Genomic DNA, 17,156 nt, shown 5'->3' with positions numbered 1-17,156 from the left:
AGTACACCAGAACATTCCTGAAAAGAAACCACATTCTGGGCCACAAAACACAACTTAACAAATTTAAAAGAATTGAAATATACCAAGTGCGTCTTTTGACTGTAATGGACTTAAACTAGAAATCAGTAACAGAAAGATAATGGAAAAATATCCAACTATTTGGAAAATATGTGCTATACTTCTAAATAATCCACAAGTCAAAGAGGAAGTCTTAAGGAACATTAAAAATATTTTGAACTAAATGAAAATAAAAATATATCAAAATTTAGGTCAGGCGTGGTGGCTCATGCCTGTAATCTCAGCACTTTGGGAAGCCGAGGTGGGTGGATCACTTGAGGTCAGGAGTTCGAAACCAGCCTGACCAACATGGTGAAACCCCATCTGTACTAAATACAAAAAATTAGCTGGGCGTGGTGGCGCATGCCTATACTCCCAGCTACTCAGGAGGCTGAGGCAGGAGAATTGCTTGAACCTGGGAGGCTGAGGTTGCAGTGAGCCAAGATCATGCCATTGCACTCCAGCCTGGGCAACGAGAGCGAAACTCCGTCTCAAAAAAAAAAAAAGAAAAAAGAAAAAAATATATATATATTATATATAAATTTGGGGATGCAGCTAAAGCAATGCTTAAGGGCAACGTACGTCATTAAATGTACACATTATAAAGAGGAAAGGTCTCAAATCAATAATCTAAAGCTTCACCTTAAGCAACTAGAAAAAGAGAAAAGCCAGAAGCAAGTAGAAGAAACCAAGAACTAGTGAAACTGAAAACAGAAAAACAGTAAAGAAAAATCAATGTATCCAAAAGTGACTTCTTTGAAAAAAGAGCCATAAAACAGATAAACTTCTAGCAAGGATAACAAAGAAAAAAGAAACAGAAGACACAAATTACCAACATGAGGAATGGGAGCCACATAACTTCAGGCCCTGAAACCATTAAAAGGTTAAGATGGGAATTCCCTTATTAACCTTTTAATCAACCTTTTAATGGTTTCGTGGCCTGAAGGGAAACTCTACATAAAGAAACTTAACAGATTAAATGAACCAATTCCTCAAAAATGATATGTACCAAAAATCACCCAAGATGCAACAGATGACCTGAACAGTCCTATAAGCACTAAAGAAATTGAATTCATAGTTCTTTTTCTTTCAAAAAAGAAACGTTGGTAGGGCACAGTGGCTCACACCTGTAACCCTAGCACTTTGGGAGGCGAGGAGGGAGAATCACTTGAGGCCAGGAGTTCAAGATCAGCCTGGGCAATATAGTGAGACCCCCAACTCTACAAAAATAAAAATAAAAAATTAGCTGGGCATGTTGGCACATGCCTGTGGTCCCAGCTACTTGGGAGGCTGACGCAGGATCACTTGAGCCCAGGAGTTCAAGGCTCCAGTGAGCTATGATTGCACCACTGCACTCCAGCCTGCGTGACAGAACGAGACCTTATCCCCCACACACAAAATAATAATAATAGAAAAGAAAACCTCTAGGCCCAGATGATTTCATTGGTGAATTCCACCAATCATTGAAAGAAGAAATAATACCAATTCTACACAATCTCTTCCAGAAAAAAAAAGAGGAGAGAACACTTCCCAACTCATTTAATGAGGCCAGCATCACCCTCAAACACAACCCAAAGAAAGTACAAAAATGGGAAACTACAGACCAAAATTTCTTATGAATACAGATGCAAAAATACTCAGCAATATGCTAGCAAATCAAATCCAGTACTATATATAAAAAAATGACCCACCAGGACCAAGTGGGGTTTGTCCTGGGAATGAAAGCTTGGTTCAATGTAATCTACCATATTAACAGCCTAATAAAGAAAAGTCCATCAATACCGAAAAGCTTTTTGAAAATATTCAACATACATTTAGTGATAAAAAGTCTAAGCACATTATAGATAGAATGGAATCTGCAAAAAGCCAGTAACTAACACACTTGCTGAAAGACTGAATCCTTTCCCTAAGATCAGAAATAAGAAGGTCCACTCGGACTGCTTCTGTTCAGTATCGTATTGGAAGTCCTAGTCAGGGCTTTGGTCATACAGGTTGGAAAGGAAGAAATAAAACTGTTTGTATTTGCAGAAAACATGATTGTATTTGTAGAAATTCCCAAGAAGTCTATTAAAATCTCCTAAAACTAGTAAGTTAATTTAGCAAGGTAACAACTAAAGTATTTGAGGCCAACACACAAAAATCAATTCTATTTCTACCTACTAGCAATGAACAGTTGAAAACTAACAACAGCAACAAAAACGTGACTGTGTGCAGAGGCTCATGCCTGTAATCTCAGCATCTTGGGAGGCCGAGGCGGGCAGATCACTTGAGGTCAGGAGTTTGAGACCAGCCTGGCCAACATGGTGAAACCCTGCCTCTATTAAAAATACAACAATCAGCCAGGTGTGGTGGCACACATCTGTAATCCCAGCTACTGGGGAGGCTGAGGCATGAGAATCACTTAGACCCAGGAAGTAGAGGTTGCAGTGAGCTGAGATCGTACCACTACACTCCAGCCTGGGCGAAAGGACAAGATTCTGTCTCAAAAAAACAAACAACTCTCCCCCCATACCCACCTGCCATACTTACAATAGTTTAAAAAGGAGAGGAAAAGGAGGAGAAGAAATAGGAGGAATAAAGAAAAGAAGAAACATTTACTTATAAATTTAACACAAGTACAGCATCTATATGCTGAATACAACACAGAAGAAACCAAAGTATATCTAAATGGAGAGACACACCATGTTCACTGATCTAAGTAAATGGAGAGACAGACCGTGTTCACAGATCTATGTAAATGGAGAAACATACCGTGTTCACGGATCTAAGTAAATGGAGAGATATACCGTGTTTGCGGATCTAAGTAAATGGAGAGACATACCGTGTTCACGGATCTACGTAAATGGAGAGACACACCAGGTTCACGGATCTAAGTAAACGGAGAGACACACTGTGTTCACGGATCTAAGTAAACGGAGAGACACACCGTGTTCACGGATCTAAGTAAATGGAGAGACATACCATGTTCATGGATTGGAAGACTCAGCATAGTAATTGTTAATTCTCCCCCAAGTGATCTCCCCGATCAGAATGGCTAAATTCCAATCAACATCTCTCTCTCTCTCTCTCTCTTTTTTTTTTTGAGGCAGTCTCACTCTGTTGCCCAGGCTGGAGTGCAGTGGTGCAGTCTTGGCTCACTTCAACCTCCACCTCCCAGGCTCAAACAATTCTTGTGACTCAGCCTCCCGAGTAGCTGGGATTACAGGCGTGTGCCACCACACCTGGCTAACTGTATTTTCAGTAGAGACAGGGTTTTACCATGTTGGCCAGGCTGGTCTTGAGCTCCTGGTCTCAAGTTGATTAGCCTGCCTTGGCCTCCCAAAATGCTGGGAATACAGGCATGAGCCACTACACCTGGCTTTCCATTCAAGACCTCAAAAGAACTTTTTGTAGATATAGACAAGCTAATTCTTTTTTTTTTTTTTTTGAGACAGAGTTTTGCTCTTGTTGCCCAGGCTGGAGTGCAGTGGCGTGATCTCGGCTCAGTGCAAACTCCGCCTTCTGGTTTCAAGTGATTCTCTTGCCTCAGCCTCCCAAGTAGCTGGGATTACAGGCACCCACTACCATGCCTGGCTAATTTTTGTATTTTTAGTAGAGACGGGTTTCATCATCTTGGTCAGGCTGGTCTTGAACTCCTGACCTCAGGTGATCTGCCCACCTTGGCCTCCCAAAGTGTTGGGATTACAGGTGTGAGCCACCAGGCCCGGCTAGACAAGCTAATTCTAAAATTAATATGTGCACCAAAACAACTCTGAGAAAGAATAAAGCTGGTGAAATCACACTACAATTGTTAAGACCTACTATAAAACCACAACAGTCAAGATAATGTGGTGTCGGTAGAGGAATGGAAACATAGATCAAGGGAACAGAACAGATAACCTGTATGTAGACCCTCTCAAATATGTCCAATTAATCTTTGGCAAAGTGGCAATGGCAATGCAATGCAGAAAGGGTAGTCTTTTCAACAAATATCACACACACATGCAGTGTGCGCACAGGTGTCACATACACATGCAGTGTTGCACACAGGTAACACACACGTATATGCAGTGCGCACATGGGTATCACACACACATGCAGTGTGTGCATATGTGACACACGCAGTGCGTGCACAGTTATCACATACACATGGTATGTGCACAGGTATCACACACATACACGCAGTGCATGCATGGGTATCACACACACAGTGTGCGCATGGGTATCTCACACACATACATACAGTGAGCAGATGGGTAACACACACACATACATGCAGCATGTGCACAGGTAACACACACTCAGTGTGTGCACGGGTATCACACATGCGCAGAGTACGCACGGGTATCACACACATACGCACAGTGCACGCACGGGTAACACACACATGAGCAGTGCACACACAGGTATCACACACATGCAGTGTGCACAGGGGTATCACACACATACATGTAGTGTGCAAACGGGTCTCACACACACATATATGCAGTGTGCACACGCGCCCCCTCGTCCTATGACATCGTCAGGGAGTCCGGCCTGGAGCTCAGCCATATTGACTTCTGGGGTTTCCATCAGGTCTTTTTTTCTGTATTTATGTGTGTAACAGCTGTGCACACACAATGTGTATGTGTGTGTGATACTTGTGTGGACACTGCATGTGTGTGATACCCATGCGCACACTAGGCATGTGTGTGATACCCATGCGCACACTAGGCATGTGTGTGATACCCGTTCATGCACTGCATGTGTGTGATACCAGTGTGCACACTGCGTGCGTGTGATACCTGTGTGTGCACTGCATGTGATACCCATGCGTACTACGTGTGCTATCCGTGTGCACACTGCGTGTATCTGTGATACCCGTGCGCGCACTGCATGTGTGTGTGGTACCTGTGATATGTCACAGGATGTGAGGGAGTGGTAGGAGCCAGCCCCTCAGCGAGGTGATGGAGGAGGCTGAGCCCTGGGCCTGGCAGGCCAGCTGCCACCTGGGGAGGGTCCAGATACTCTGGCCCCGGGGATGATCCTGGGAAGGTGTCCTCCCATCCCCACAGGGCACATTCCTTTCTGCAGGTACTTTCTGTTTCCTGACAAATATGACACCAAGCCTCTTAATTCAGCTCTGAAGGCCTGGCTGATCATCTGCCCAGGAACAGTCATGAGTCACTCCACAGGCCTAGGGATGGCCATTCTCATGACTAGTCCTGAGGGAGACCTTCTGGGGAGGGACGCTGGCCGGGACCCACGCCTCGGCACAGACAAGAGTGGATCGGACAGCCCAGCTGTCGGCCACAGCCTCACTTGAGCCACGTGGATCCGGGACCGTGGTAGTGAGGGGCACCCTCGGGTTCTGGGATGCTGTGGAGAGAAGGGCTACTGCGTGAGACTCAGATGAAAGTACCAAGTGCGTCTGCGAGTGTGAGCGTGGGGTGGGGAGTCCCTTCACATGAGAGAGCAGCAGGTCTCTGATGCTGGGGCTTTTCAGAGTTCACAGCGCCCATCATCACCTGGTTGTCCTGGGGCGCCCACCCACCCCTCTGGGAGCCCTGAATCTCAGGTGTCGGAGGGCACAAACCCTGAGGCCCTCAGGCTGTGCTCCTCCCCACGAAGGGTCTTGGCCCCTGGTGGAGCCAGGCCCCGCAGGGCAGCTGTACTCCACCTGCTGCACCGACTCCTTGGCTGAACTGGAAATGTTCCCGGGCCTGCTGTCAGCAGATGCAAACCCCCCGTACGCTGAGATTTAAGCAGCCCCAGAGCATCTGTGCGGCTTCACCTTGCAGGGTCTGCCTGCATGCCTGTCGCAGAGGCCCCTGTGCGGTGTCTCTGACTGTCAGGGTGCCCAGGTAGCTGAGGCTGCTGCTTCTATTTCAAGACTGCTTCAGGGAAGAAACCAGCAGACACAAATAATTAAAGAAACTCAGGCAGGAGCAATCAGGTGGCGCGGCAGCCAATGCAGGTGTGAAGCAGTTAAGTTTTGTTTTAATTTAAGACAGAAATGCTCCCCACCCCCGCTCCGCCCCTTTCTCTGGCAACATTTCTGCCATTTCCGGCAGAGCAGGTGCTCAGAGGCAGGAGTGTCAGCTGACTGACACCTGGAGAGGGCTGCACAGCCACGGGGCGTCTCACTCCTCCACACGCCACTCACGTTCTGCTCTCTGCTGGGGACATTTCTGACTAGATGGTGTCCCCAACCCAGGCACAGGCTGAGCCCCGTCCCTGCAGACAGGGTTGGAACTGGCTGAGCTGGGAGGTCCTCGAGTTGGGGGCAGGGGCACTGCAGGGCACAGACTTGAGAGCCAGGAAGGGCCGGTGTATTCAGGAACCTGAGATGTGGGGTGTGGCCAGCAGCCTAGTACCAGCAGGGCAGAGGCAGGAATCCCAGGAGAGGCATGTCAGGACAACAGCATGGGCTGGGGCCCTACAGAGGGCAGGGGAGGTGGGTATAGCAAGGGGCAGCCACCCAGGTGGGTTTCAGCAAGTTGCCCCATGGCTCTGTGGGGGCCACAGGGATAACAGCCCACTGCGGGGGGCCCAGGCCAGGCGGGACACACTGTGCGGCCCTCCACACAAGGTGCGGCCACTGCAGGTGGCCCCAGGTGAGAGGTTTCCATGGGGAAACAGAATACCCACTTCAGGGCCACGGGGGATAACAGCCCACTGCGGGTGGCCCAGGCCAGGCGGGACACACTGTGCGGCCCTCCACACAAGGTGCGGCCACTGCAGGTGGCCCCAGGTGAGAGGTTTCCACGGGGAAACAGAATACCCACTTCAGGGCCACGGGGGATAACAGCCCACTGCGGGGGGCCCAGGCCAGGCGGGACACGCCGTGTGGCCCTCCACACAAGGTGCGGCCACTGCACCTTTCAGTGTCATTTAATGACACTGAAAGCCACCCACATCCTACTTGGTTGCTGGAGCTAAAACGTCCAACCACGACCATCGCTCCAACCCTCACGTGGTCATGTGTGGAAACCAAGGTACAAGGAGGGCGTGTGGCTGTTCACTCACGAGAGCAAGGCCCACGGCCCCTCAGCCTCTGCACAGGGAGCTCAGTTGTGCCCGTGAGGGCCAAGATGGTGTCACAGAGAAGGAAATGCACAGAGATGAGACTCAGGATCCCTCGATCTTTGAAAACCTCAGGGCAACACAGTCAATCATGTGTGGTATCAGGTGTGGATACTGGCTTCAGAGAAAATAATTTCCTTTTAAATCAAGATTCCATTTCCCCATAATCCCTAAACCTTTCTCTGTGATGAGTTCACGTGTGATGAGCAGACTCTCATGTTAAAATCCTCACAGAAATGAGACAATGTCCTTTGTTCTTGTTCACCCTTGTCAGCTTTAGAATAACGCACAAGACAAGGAGGCAGCCACAGAGCACTGCACAGGCACCCACCTCCGCGTGCAGGGCCCCGTGAATCTCCCCACACCTACTATGGGGGCCTGTGGTCAGCGTCCCCTCAGGACGGGTGCCAGGGTCAGGCCAGTTCATATTTCTAACCAGATTCCCATCAACAACAACGGCCTCTGCTCTTTATCTCTTCCGCTTAGCCAAGGCCATCATGGCCCACGTCAGCCTGTCCCCGTGGACAGGGCCCCTGGGAGGAGCTGTGTGCCCGGGTGTGAGTCCCTTTGGCGTTCCGCCCTGGGCTCCCTCTGCCCACTGCTCTGTGAACGCACAGACGGACACGCAGCAGGCAGGGCCCAGAACACCAGCCAGTGCCCTTGCAACACCAGCCAGCACCTGCAGTGTCCAGGGGGCTGGTCCCCTGCGTGGAGGGGAGTCTGCCTCCAGGGGAAAGATGCACCAGTGTAACCACCCTGGGGGGCCTAGACTGGACACACGGCCGCCCACCTGCCAAGAGCAGAGTGGCTTACCTTGGTCCCCCTCTCGTCTCCCTCTGCGTGGATGGTGTAGGAGCAGGCTTCCCTCTGTGGGTTTTCTGAGACAATGCGCACCTGTACTCCAGGCAGTGGGGTCCCCACGGAACCTACAGGAGAGGAGAAACACTGAAGGGGAGGCTGGAGTGAGAGGAACCTGGAGGAGAGAAGCACACACTGAGCTCGGATCCCGCTGAGCTCCCGTGTGCCACGTGCGGGAGTCTGTGTGGAGGGAGCGACGTGCCCTGTGACCCAGAGAGAAGATGGTGTAGGCACCAGCAGGTGAAAAGCCACACGATACGTGGCTGGCAAGCACGGTGTGCTCAGGCCCAGCCGATGCCACAGTGATGGCCATGTGGCACAGCAGGCACTCACGTGGCACGCTGGGCCTGGCCTGCCCTGGGCCCCTCATACATCACTTTCCCAGTTACTTCCCAAAGCCTCACAGCTGCCCACAGATTCTGGTGTCATTCCCACTTTTACACACTTGCTGGCCAGGGAGGGCTGGCGCCTTGCCCTGATGGCCCCGGGGCTGTCCACGATGAGGGGACCTGTGTGTGCCCGGCACACGACGGGCTAAGGCAGGATCTGCCCTATGTCCCCAGGAGGGGCTGTCCTGAACTCTGCATGGCAGGTGGACCACACTTTGTACTGGCTCATTTATTAGACACCCATGATTTGCTCAGTGTATCCATCCCACCTGCACAGTCTCAACGTGGCTAAAATCATATCTTACACTGGCCGGGGTGGGGGCAGAGCCCAGGTGGCGAGACGTGTCCCGCCGGCACACGCAGGGCTGCCGCAGCCTCGCTCTGCCTGTGGTTTAGGTTGCTGGTGGGACGGCAGAGGCTGCTCATGGAGTGCGGCCCTGGCGATGTGGCGTCAGCACGGGCATGACCTAGGGGCAGAGCAGACGTGGGACTTCCTGTCTATCCCGGGGCGTGAGGCCTTTGCCCTGGCCTGCGTCAGGGGAGTGCCTGAACGCTTATCATGTCTGAGTCCACGCTGAGATTTCCGGCACTTCAAGGGTCAGCATCGAGGGTCAGTGCAGTGAACTCTGCAATCCATGGGGCGTCCCGGCCTCCAGACGCTTGGTGAGGGGCTGTCGGTGCCCGGCTCGGTCTTGCTGATCCTGCTGGGCCTGTCCACACCTGGGGTCCTGCAGGCGAAGCCGGGCTAGTGTGGTGTGCGGAGTGTCACCTCGGGAGTTCTCTGTGGTTCCAGGTATGCAGACGCCCCGAACCTCCACTCTGGTCAGAAACCCGTGTCACCACTATGGGGGGTGTGGCGGGGCCAGCTTCAGCCCCCTTTCTTCCATCCTTTCTCCTCCTTTATGTTTTGCTTCTGAAGATTTTTAAATGGGGGTGAAACCCGCATAACACATGACTTCCCATTTCAGTGCGCGGCACGGCGGTGTTCCGCACACACATTGCACAGCCCCCCACTTCCCCTAGTCAGAACTCCCGCACAGCCCACGACCGCCACACCCTCCCTCCCCAGACCTGGCACCAGGTCTGCTGTCCGCGTCCGTGGTTTTTCTGTTCTGGGCGTTTCATAAGAAGAGGACCATCACAGGCGGCCTTTCGCCTCTTCCTGGTGATGCCTCTACTGGGGCGGGGACGCAGCGCAAGGACACGGCACGGCTGGGGTAGGGGCGGGGGCCGCAGGTGGGGAGGCCGTGTGGCCGTCCCACACCATCTGCAGAGGCTGAAGAGGCTCTGGGATGGTGTCTGGATTCTGCAGCAGCCAAGCAGTGGTATTGTCCATGAGAGCTCAAGGAGTGGCCCCCACACTCCAGGTGCCGCCCGTGAGAGCTTCAGGGAGGGGCCCCCACACTCCAGGTGCCACCCATGAAAGCTTGAGGCAGGGGCCCCCACACTCCAGGTGCCACCCGTGAGAGCTCGAGGGAGGGGTCCCCACACTCCAGGTGCCGCTCGCTGTGCCCCGGGCATGTGACAGTGTGGACATGAGAGCTCAAGAGAGTGGACAGAGGCTGGCCCCGCAAAGGCCAATGTAGATGGGAGCGCAGCTGCAGGCAGGTGGGGGGCACTGCCTTCCTGCCACAGCCCACCTCTAAAATCGCTGTCAGCCAGCCCCTCCCTGATAACTCTGACTGGGGACTGGGACCCAGGGAACGGAAACCGCCAATGAGGCCCTGGAGCTCCCTGTCAATGCCACAGAGTGGCCCAGGAGCCGTGAGCACCTCTGAGCTCAACCTCCAATTAGAGTGTGACGAGGCCCAGCAGTGGTCGGCCATGAATTATTCATCTCCCTCCACAGGAACCGCACGGAGCAGGCCTGTAACCATAACACACGACAGAGCTCACCCTCCACCCAGCTTCTCTCTCTTCCGAGCACGGACAGTGCACTGAGCAGCGAGGCCAAGCATGAGCTCAGAGCCTGTGGCTGGAGCCGACCCAAGGGTCAAGGCCATGGCCACCAGGGTGGGGGTTAGAGCCTGAGAGTGAGGAAAGCTCTCCTCCACCGTGCCCTCTAGAAACATGGCTCAGGAGGCTGCATTTTGGAGTTTTTGTGGGGCATATTGGATTTAATGCTGAGGTGACTTTACTTACTTTTTTCCAAACCAAAGAACTCACACTGCTGGTGATTTAAAGGCAAGGATAAAATCACAGATATTTGATTCTGCCTTAGAGAAGAGGGAGCGTCCCCGGCGCCCCAGGGAAACTGCCGTATGCTCTGCCTTAGAGAAGAGGGAACATCCCTGGCGCCCGAGGGAACCTGCCGTCAGGCTCTGCCTTAGAGAAGAGAGAGCGTCCCCGGCGCCCGAGGGAATCTGCCGTGGGCTCTGCCTTAGAGAAGAGAGAGCGTCCCCGGCGCCCGAGGGAACCTGCCGTGGGCTCTGCCTTAGAGAAGAGGGAACGTCCCTGGCGCCTGAGGGAACCTGCTGTGGGCTCTGCCTTAGAGAAGAGGGAATGTCCTTGGCGCCTGAGGGAACCTACTGTGGGCTCTGCCTTAGAGAAGAGGGAGCATCCCCGGCACCCGAGGGAACCTGCCGTCGGTAGCTGAAGACTCGGGGATTGGTGCACTCAGGTTTCTTGCCCAATAACCCTGAAGCTTCAGGGTCTCTGGATCCCCCTCCTCAGCCGGGGACTCCTCTCCCTGTGCCATCTGTCTGGGGCTCCTTCCTGTTCGCCTAGGAGTTCTGATTCCAGCGTGGGGAAGCTGAGCCTCCCCTGGGTCTCTGGGCTACTATCTGCTCCTTGGCGCCCTCGGTGTGGACGGCGGTCCCTGGGCTGCTCCTTGGCGCTCTTGGTGTGGACGGCGGTCCCTGGGCTGCTCCTGACGCTCTCAGTGTAGACAGTGGTCCCTGGGCTGCTCCTGACATCCTCGGTGTAGACAGCAGTCCCCGGGCTGCTCCTGACTCCCTGGGTGTAGACAGTGGTCCCTGGGCTGCTCATGACTCCCTCGGTGTAGACAGTGGTCCCTGGGCTGCTCCTGATTTCAGCTTCTCAGCCTTGTATCTGTTCCAGTAAAAAAGGCTAGGGGGGCACTGTCCATCTTCTCTAGTGAGGGCCATTGAAGAGGTCACCGTGCTCCTGGGAAGTGCATCACTCACCAGCCGCGTGACCGTGGGCAGGCTCATGGGTTCTTGTATGTGAGTGCAAAATATGACCCCATCGCAGGGGCTGTTTCGAGAAGATCAAAAGAGAGGACGCCCACAAAGCAATGCTGTGGATGAACAGTCATCATGAACTACAAACTGTGCAGACAGATTCTGAATACACAGAACTTGTCCTGCTCACATGTCCGGAACAAAGAGAGGACAAAGCCCAGAGCCCGTTACCCTTTCAGTCCTCACTTGCCTGCAGCCTGCAGCCTCAGCGAGCCGGGCTTTGCTCATTCCGTCCATATTACGTGGTGACTGTGGCCGGTGGCACTGGACAAAACCAGCACATCCTACTAAGAAGGACAACGATAAGGACAGAGACTCAACAGACCAGTCACATTTGATTTCAAGGTCCCCATCTTATTTCCACCAGAGAGCTTTAGCCACCGAAGAAACAGCTGGTGCCGCAGCCATCGTGGAGATGCGCGAGTCAGCCCAGAGCAGGGGCCGCTAGCACTGACGGAGGTGGAGGTTTCCTGGGGTCTGAGACTAACGCGGGAGCCGGCCCAGGGCAGGGGCCACCAGCACTGACGGCGGTTTCCTGGGGTCTGAGACTAGGATGTATTTCTCATCACTCACACTGACTTCTTTTCACAACATGCCCCCACCCGCCCACTGCCCTGGGCACTGTTGCAGCAGGCACTGCACTCTGTGCGGCCACCCCACTGGCAGCTCTGCACGGCAGCTGAGGATCTCGCTGCCATGGCCCTGTCATTCTGCTCAGGATGCCCCAGCCAAACCGAGACTTTACACTCAGAATACACTTAACAGCCCCCATGGCTCCCCAGGCCCAGCAAAGGGGCGTGAGCCTACAGTCTCTCCTCCTCCCAGCCCAGCAGCCAGCCAGCCCTCACACTCACCTTGCAGGCCCCAGCACCGTATCGCTGCCTGGCACCAGCTGGTCCCTGCCTGGGCCTGAACCCCCATGTCCACGCTTACCCTAGAGTCCCAGGAACCAAGCAGGCATGGAATGAGCCAAAGGGCACACGGAAAGCAATGGGACAGAGCAGAGCCCAGGAGCCGACCCCTCAGGAGTCGACGGACTTTCAACAAAGATCCAAAGGGCTGTTCGATGGAGAAGGGAGTCTTTTCAACGAACAGTGCTAAAAAGTTAGACATTCACACACTAAAAAAGAACTGTGGTCCGTATCTCGCACTATGTACAAACATTAACTCAAAATGGATCATGGTCCCAAACGTAAGAGCTGAAACTATTCTCTGTGACTTTGGGCTACGCAAGGATTTATTAGATATGACATCAGACAATTCACAAAACAAATTGATAAACCGGGCCAAAACCTAAAACTCCTGATTTTAAAGACGCTGTTAGGTGAATGGGAAGACAAACCACAAGCTGGGAGATGATATTTAAAATCGCACAGCTGACACTTGGGTCCCGAATTTTAAAAGCTCTCAAAACTCAAGAAAACAAAGGCCCCAGTTGAAAACGGAATGACACGAACAGGAAGAGGTGCTCAACGCCACCCATCATGAGAGAATCATGAACTCAACGAGACACCACCACCGCCCGCTGGAGCAGCAGGTGCTCGTGACCTCCCACCCATTGCAGGGGGAAGGGGATGGTGTAGCCGCTCTGGAGAACAGCTTGAAAGCTTCAGACAACACAGCAATCTCTCTCCTAGGTATCTGCCCAGGTGAAATAAAAAACCACGTTCGCACAGAAACCTGCACACAAATGTTGATAACATCTCACGTGTCATTGCTTAAAACAGGGTCACAAGCGGTGCCGCACCCACACCACGGATGCCACTCAGCAGGGAAAGGCGCGGGCTCTGACGCACACAGCACAGGCAGTTGACTGTGGGCGGAAGCCGGGCGGAAGCAGACAGGCTCAGAGGCCACGTCCTGCAGGATTTAGCCACGTGGCCTCCCAGAAAAAGCAAAACCACAAGAAGAGAAACAGGAACAAGGGGCCAGGCCTCGGGGGTGGAGGAGGTGCTGAGCACTAGGAAGGGAGTTTCTGAGGCGAGGAACCCTTCTCTATTTTGACTGTGATGATGTTTCTTAAGACACACAGAGCTGCACGCCAGAGGGGTGAATTTTTACTGGGTCTGCAGGTAAGCAGCTGCACAGACAGATGTGCGGGATGGTCTCACTTTAAGTCTGCACTGAGATCTCTCTTCTACTCTAGACAGACTGGAAGGGCTGCGCAGAAAGCAGCAGGGTGGCCCCCCAGCTGTGGGCTCTGTTCCCAGAAGTCCCAGCGGAGGACCCAGGGCTCAAATGGTTGGGTCAGATGAAAGTCAGAATGGGATGTGTTAGGGAAGGCTGGACAAGAGGGGCCCGGTATCAGGAGCCCACATCTAGAGAAGGAAGACAGGTGCTTGACTCATCCCACCCTGCCCACCACACCCACCTCTCCTGGCACTGCTGCTGGCGCTGTGTGGCACCCGGACTCCAGACAGACGGAGGCTGCCACCACTGCTGATGTGGTCTGGAGCCAACAGCATGGCCCCCCGCCTTCCTCTGAGACATGCACTGACGCCTGCATTCCAGGCATTGCTGTTCTTCCCATTGTCTCCCCAGTCATACAGCCAGGGGCCAGCACAGACACCTCCCCCATCCACCCGACTGAGACTTGGGAGAAGGCTGATCTACCCAGAGGGGACAGGTCGCAGTGCATCCTGAGTGCTCTCCTGGCCGAGTGGCCTGTCCCACGGGGGAGCATCCTCCATGCCGCCCTTCAGTCCGAATGTGGGTGGTTCGAGACTGGCCCACCTTGGGGGGCTCAGAGCACAGTGGAAGAGGAACGCAGCTGTGGGAAGTGCTCGTACCTGGCAGGCGCACGGCAGTGGTCAGGGGCCCGGACAGAGCCATGCCGATCTCGGTCATGCCATACCGCTCCAGCAGGGTGTGGCCCGTGATGTTCTTCCACTTCTCCAGCACTGGGAGGGGCAGGGCAGCTGAGCCTGAGACCATCAGCCTACGCGGCACAACCAAAGGCAGGTTTAGCCCCTTGGGACGTGGCTCTCGCGTGCAAAGGTGGCAGGTTTAGCCCCTCAGGAGGCGGCCCTTGCTTGCAAAAGTGGCAGCTCCTTCACGAGTGCAGGAGCCCCAGGCCGTGGGTACAGCACCACTGTGCGACACCCGGGACCAACGCTGCAGTCTGCGCTACGGCGTGACTTTGTTTTTTGAAAACGATCTGTTGGGTGTATTTTAGAAGGAAGCAGGTCCAACAGCTAATGAGGGTAAACAATGTGCTTAGGGTCCGCGGTGTCCCCTGCAAAGTTCCTGCGCTGTTCACAACCACGCTCAAGAACAGCAGTGACCGTGCAGCTGCCGACCACGGAGCTGATCACGGGTGAACAGCCACGGCGCTGCAGGCTGCGGCCAGGCACATCCGGGGACTACAGCCGGCTCAGCTTGCAGGCTCTGCAGCAGAACGCGGACATGGGTGAATGGCCGCGGCACCCAAGGGGTGGGGCCGGGCACACCCAAGGGGCTCAGAACCACCCGCAGAACTGCAGCCATCTTGGCCCACAGGGTCAGCTCAGGCTTGGCAGGAGAACACGGGCCCTGAGAACTCCGAGTCCCCGCGCTCTCACACAGCATTTCCCGCAGCCTCACGGGCAGTAGGGAAGGCGCTTTTGTTTGCGGTCTGAGCGGAGTGGTCCCTGCTGCTGCCCCTGCTTTACGAGGAGGCACCACTGACAGGACCCCCGCTGGGAGATCCAGATGGCCGAGGTCTCATTGCCTCTGTCACCCCAGAAATCACCTGATCCTCTCCTTCACTGACCTCGTTCTTGCCCTTGGTTCCTTAGATTTGGTAAAACGTTGTGCTCACCCTGCTCAGCTTGGGGCCTGCCCAGCCCCAGGGTATCCCAGCAGTAGCAGCAGCAAAACCATGGGCTCCGGTGGCCTCACAGAAAAGGGGCAAGGGAACGGCAAAGAGAGCGAAGCGGTTCAGACATGTGCCTTGGACAACCCGGAATTCTCTCCAGGAACAAAGGTGCCGCTTCCCTGTGCACTTCCTGGGGACTGGGAGGAGCGCGCGGCAGCCACAGACACACACATCCCACTGGAAACTGGATGGCAGTGGAGCCTTCAGTTCCTGCAGTGCACCCTCCACGCCACCCCTCCCTCTCACAAAAAGAAAAAATACCCCACCCACGACTCTGCTGGAGGTGCGGGCCTGTGATGCGTGTGAAGACTCACTGAGCCACACGTGTGCGTTTCCAGTTAGTGAACCACACCTCAACAGCCACGAGGGAAAAGAAACGTTCCCACGCCTGCAGGTTCATGGGAGAGTGCAGAGCAAACACGCCCCTGGGTGGCCCAAAAGACCAGCTTGTCCTGGGAGGGAGGGGTTTATCCAGGGAGCTGGGAGGGGAGGAGCGGGGCTGAGAGGAAAAGCAGCAGAACGTGCCCCAGGCAGGAGGCCTCACAGGGCTGCCCACGAAGGCAGAGAGACTGCATAGGAGAGGCAGGCGCCGTGGGACATGTGGGCAGATGAAGCAGGAGCAAGCGGGTCAGCTCACTGTCCTCACCCTTGTCCTTCAGACGCCATGACAGAGAGAGAGAGAGACGGACAGGAGAGAGAGCAGACAGACAGACGGAGACAAAGACAGATGGAGAGATAGAGACAGATGGAGAGACAGGAGAGATAGAGAAAGAGAAGACGGAGAGACAGATGAAGAGCGATGGAGAGAGACAGAGAGAAGACAGAGATGGAGAGTCTGACAAGAGAGACAGAGAAGACAGATAGATGGAGAGATGGAGAGAGAGAGACAAAGAGAGACAGAGAGAGATAGAGAGACAGAGTGTGACAGAGAGAGCGATACAGAATCCAGGCAGCTATCGACGTGGAAGAGATTACAGATATACATACAGACGGGTAGAGAGAGAGAGAGACAGTTAGAGAGGTAGAGACGGAGACGGGTAGAGAGAGAGGGAACATTGAAAGGAAATGGAAAGCACTGCTTCCCAGAACTTAGTAGGAGTGATTTATTAGAAATAAGTCGTATCTGTTGATCTTTAAGACTTTCTGAACGAGAAAGTGGGCTCTTTTCACTTACCTAATTTTTTCTTCACAAACTGCACGCAAGAAATCCTGGGCGTGCGGCTGGGTAAAATGCCTGTCGTAGTACTCCATCAGCTTGGTGTATATTGTAGGCACTGCCATAAAGACATTGATCCGCGGCGTTTCAGAACTTAAGAACTTTTCCCAAACCTACGAAGGAAAGGAAGCACTCGGTAGGAAGATGAGCAGGCACTGGGGCCCGTGGCGGAGGCTCCTGGCTCCAGGCACAGCGTTCTCATGGTTCACATTCAAGAGTCTGCAGCGCCTCCCTTCTAAAAGGGGTGCCTCAAACTCTGACCCCTTCCCACAGAAGCCATGTTGCGCGGGACAGCTGCGTCTGGCCTGTGAGGGGAAGAGCAATCGTGAACAGAGCTAGAAAAGGGCTTCGGGATCTGTGGCCTGGAGAGACGTGAGTGGTCAGGCTCTTCCAGCTACACAGAGAGGGCGGATGTACACCTTGGGGAAGCTGGCAGGAGGGCCTGGCTGCCCGCAGACCTGAAGTCAGCATGCTTCCCAGTATGGACAGGCATGCAGTGACTAGCGAACGGGTGAAGTCTTTTATTTAAAAGA

General features: G+C 53.9%; 1 protein-coding gene across 7 annotated transcripts in view, besides 5 other annotated features; it reads right to left on the bottom strand.

The window, feature by feature from the left end:
• The window catches only part of ACSF3 (acyl-CoA synthetase family member 3), a 62,382-nt gene that overhangs the window by 27,406 nt on the left and 17,820 nt on the right, over positions 1-17,156 (bottom strand). For 5 of the 7 annotated variants that reach the window (NR_104293.2, NM_001243279.3, NM_001127214.4 and 2 more), the window contains 3 exons: positions 16,582-16,736; positions 14,341-14,489; positions 7,915-8,027 (listed from right to left, as the gene is read on the bottom strand). Coding sequence is in view for 4 of the 7 variants with exons in the window: in NM_001243279.3 (NP_001230208.1) it covers positions 7,915-8,027; positions 14,341-14,489; positions 16,582-16,736 (417 nt within the window). In the remaining 3 variants the exon portion in view is untranslated. Of the gene's footprint in view, positions 1-7,914; positions 8,028-11,741; positions 11,839-14,340; positions 14,490-16,581; positions 16,737-17,156 lie in introns of all 7 variants that reach the window. The other 2 variants (NR_147928.2, NR_147929.2) reach the window with 2 other exon arrangements.
• Positions 10,013-10,307: a silencer, noted in NCBI's record as "tiled region #10518; K562 Repressive non-DNase unmatched - State 16:ElonW". NCBI's record gives its function as "represses a minimal TATA promoter and a strong SV40 promoter by Sharpr-MPRA in K562 cells {active_cell/tissue: K562}" and the evidence as "EXISTENCE:reporter gene assay evidence [ECO:0000049][PMID:27701403]".
• Positions 10,013-10,307: an enhancer, noted in NCBI's record as "tiled region #10518; HepG2 Activating DNase matched - State 5:Enh". NCBI's record gives its function as "activates a minimal TATA promoter and a strong SV40 promoter by Sharpr-MPRA in HepG2 cells {active_cell/tissue: HepG2}" and the evidence as "EXISTENCE:reporter gene assay evidence [ECO:0000049][PMID:27701403]".
• Positions 13,662-14,861: an enhancer, noted in NCBI's record as "P300/CBP strongly-dependent group 1 enhancer chr16:89180375-89181574 (GRCh37/hg19 assembly coordinates)". NCBI's record gives its function as "activates an origin of replication core promoter dependent on BRD2, BRD4, P300/CBP, MED14 and CDK7 cofactors, with strong dependence on P300/CBP, by STARR-seq in HCT116 cells {active_cell/tissue: HCT116}" and the evidence as "EXISTENCE:reporter gene assay evidence [ECO:0000049][PMID:35650434]".
• Positions 13,973-14,267: a silencer, noted in NCBI's record as "tiled region #384; HepG2 Repressive non-DNase unmatched - State 15:Elon". NCBI's record gives its function as "represses a minimal TATA promoter and a strong SV40 promoter by Sharpr-MPRA in HepG2 cells {active_cell/tissue: HepG2}" and the evidence as "EXISTENCE:reporter gene assay evidence [ECO:0000049][PMID:27701403]".
• Positions 14,363-14,462: an enhancer, noted in NCBI's record as "active region_11395". NCBI's record gives its function as "activates an Ori minimal core promoter by ATAC-STARR-seq in GM12878 lymphoblastoid cells {active_cell/tissue: GM12878}" and the evidence as "EXISTENCE:reporter gene assay evidence [ECO:0000049][PMID:35858748]".

This window comes from Homo sapiens, chromosome 16 (assembly GCF_000001405.40).
Source record: "Homo sapiens chromosome 16, GRCh38.p14 Primary Assembly".
Lineage (NCBI taxonomy): Eukaryota > Metazoa > Chordata > Mammalia > Primates > Hominidae > Homo > Homo sapiens.
The sequence above is the reverse complement of the archived record's forward strand: the minus strand, read 5'-3'. Positions and strand labels throughout refer to the sequence as shown.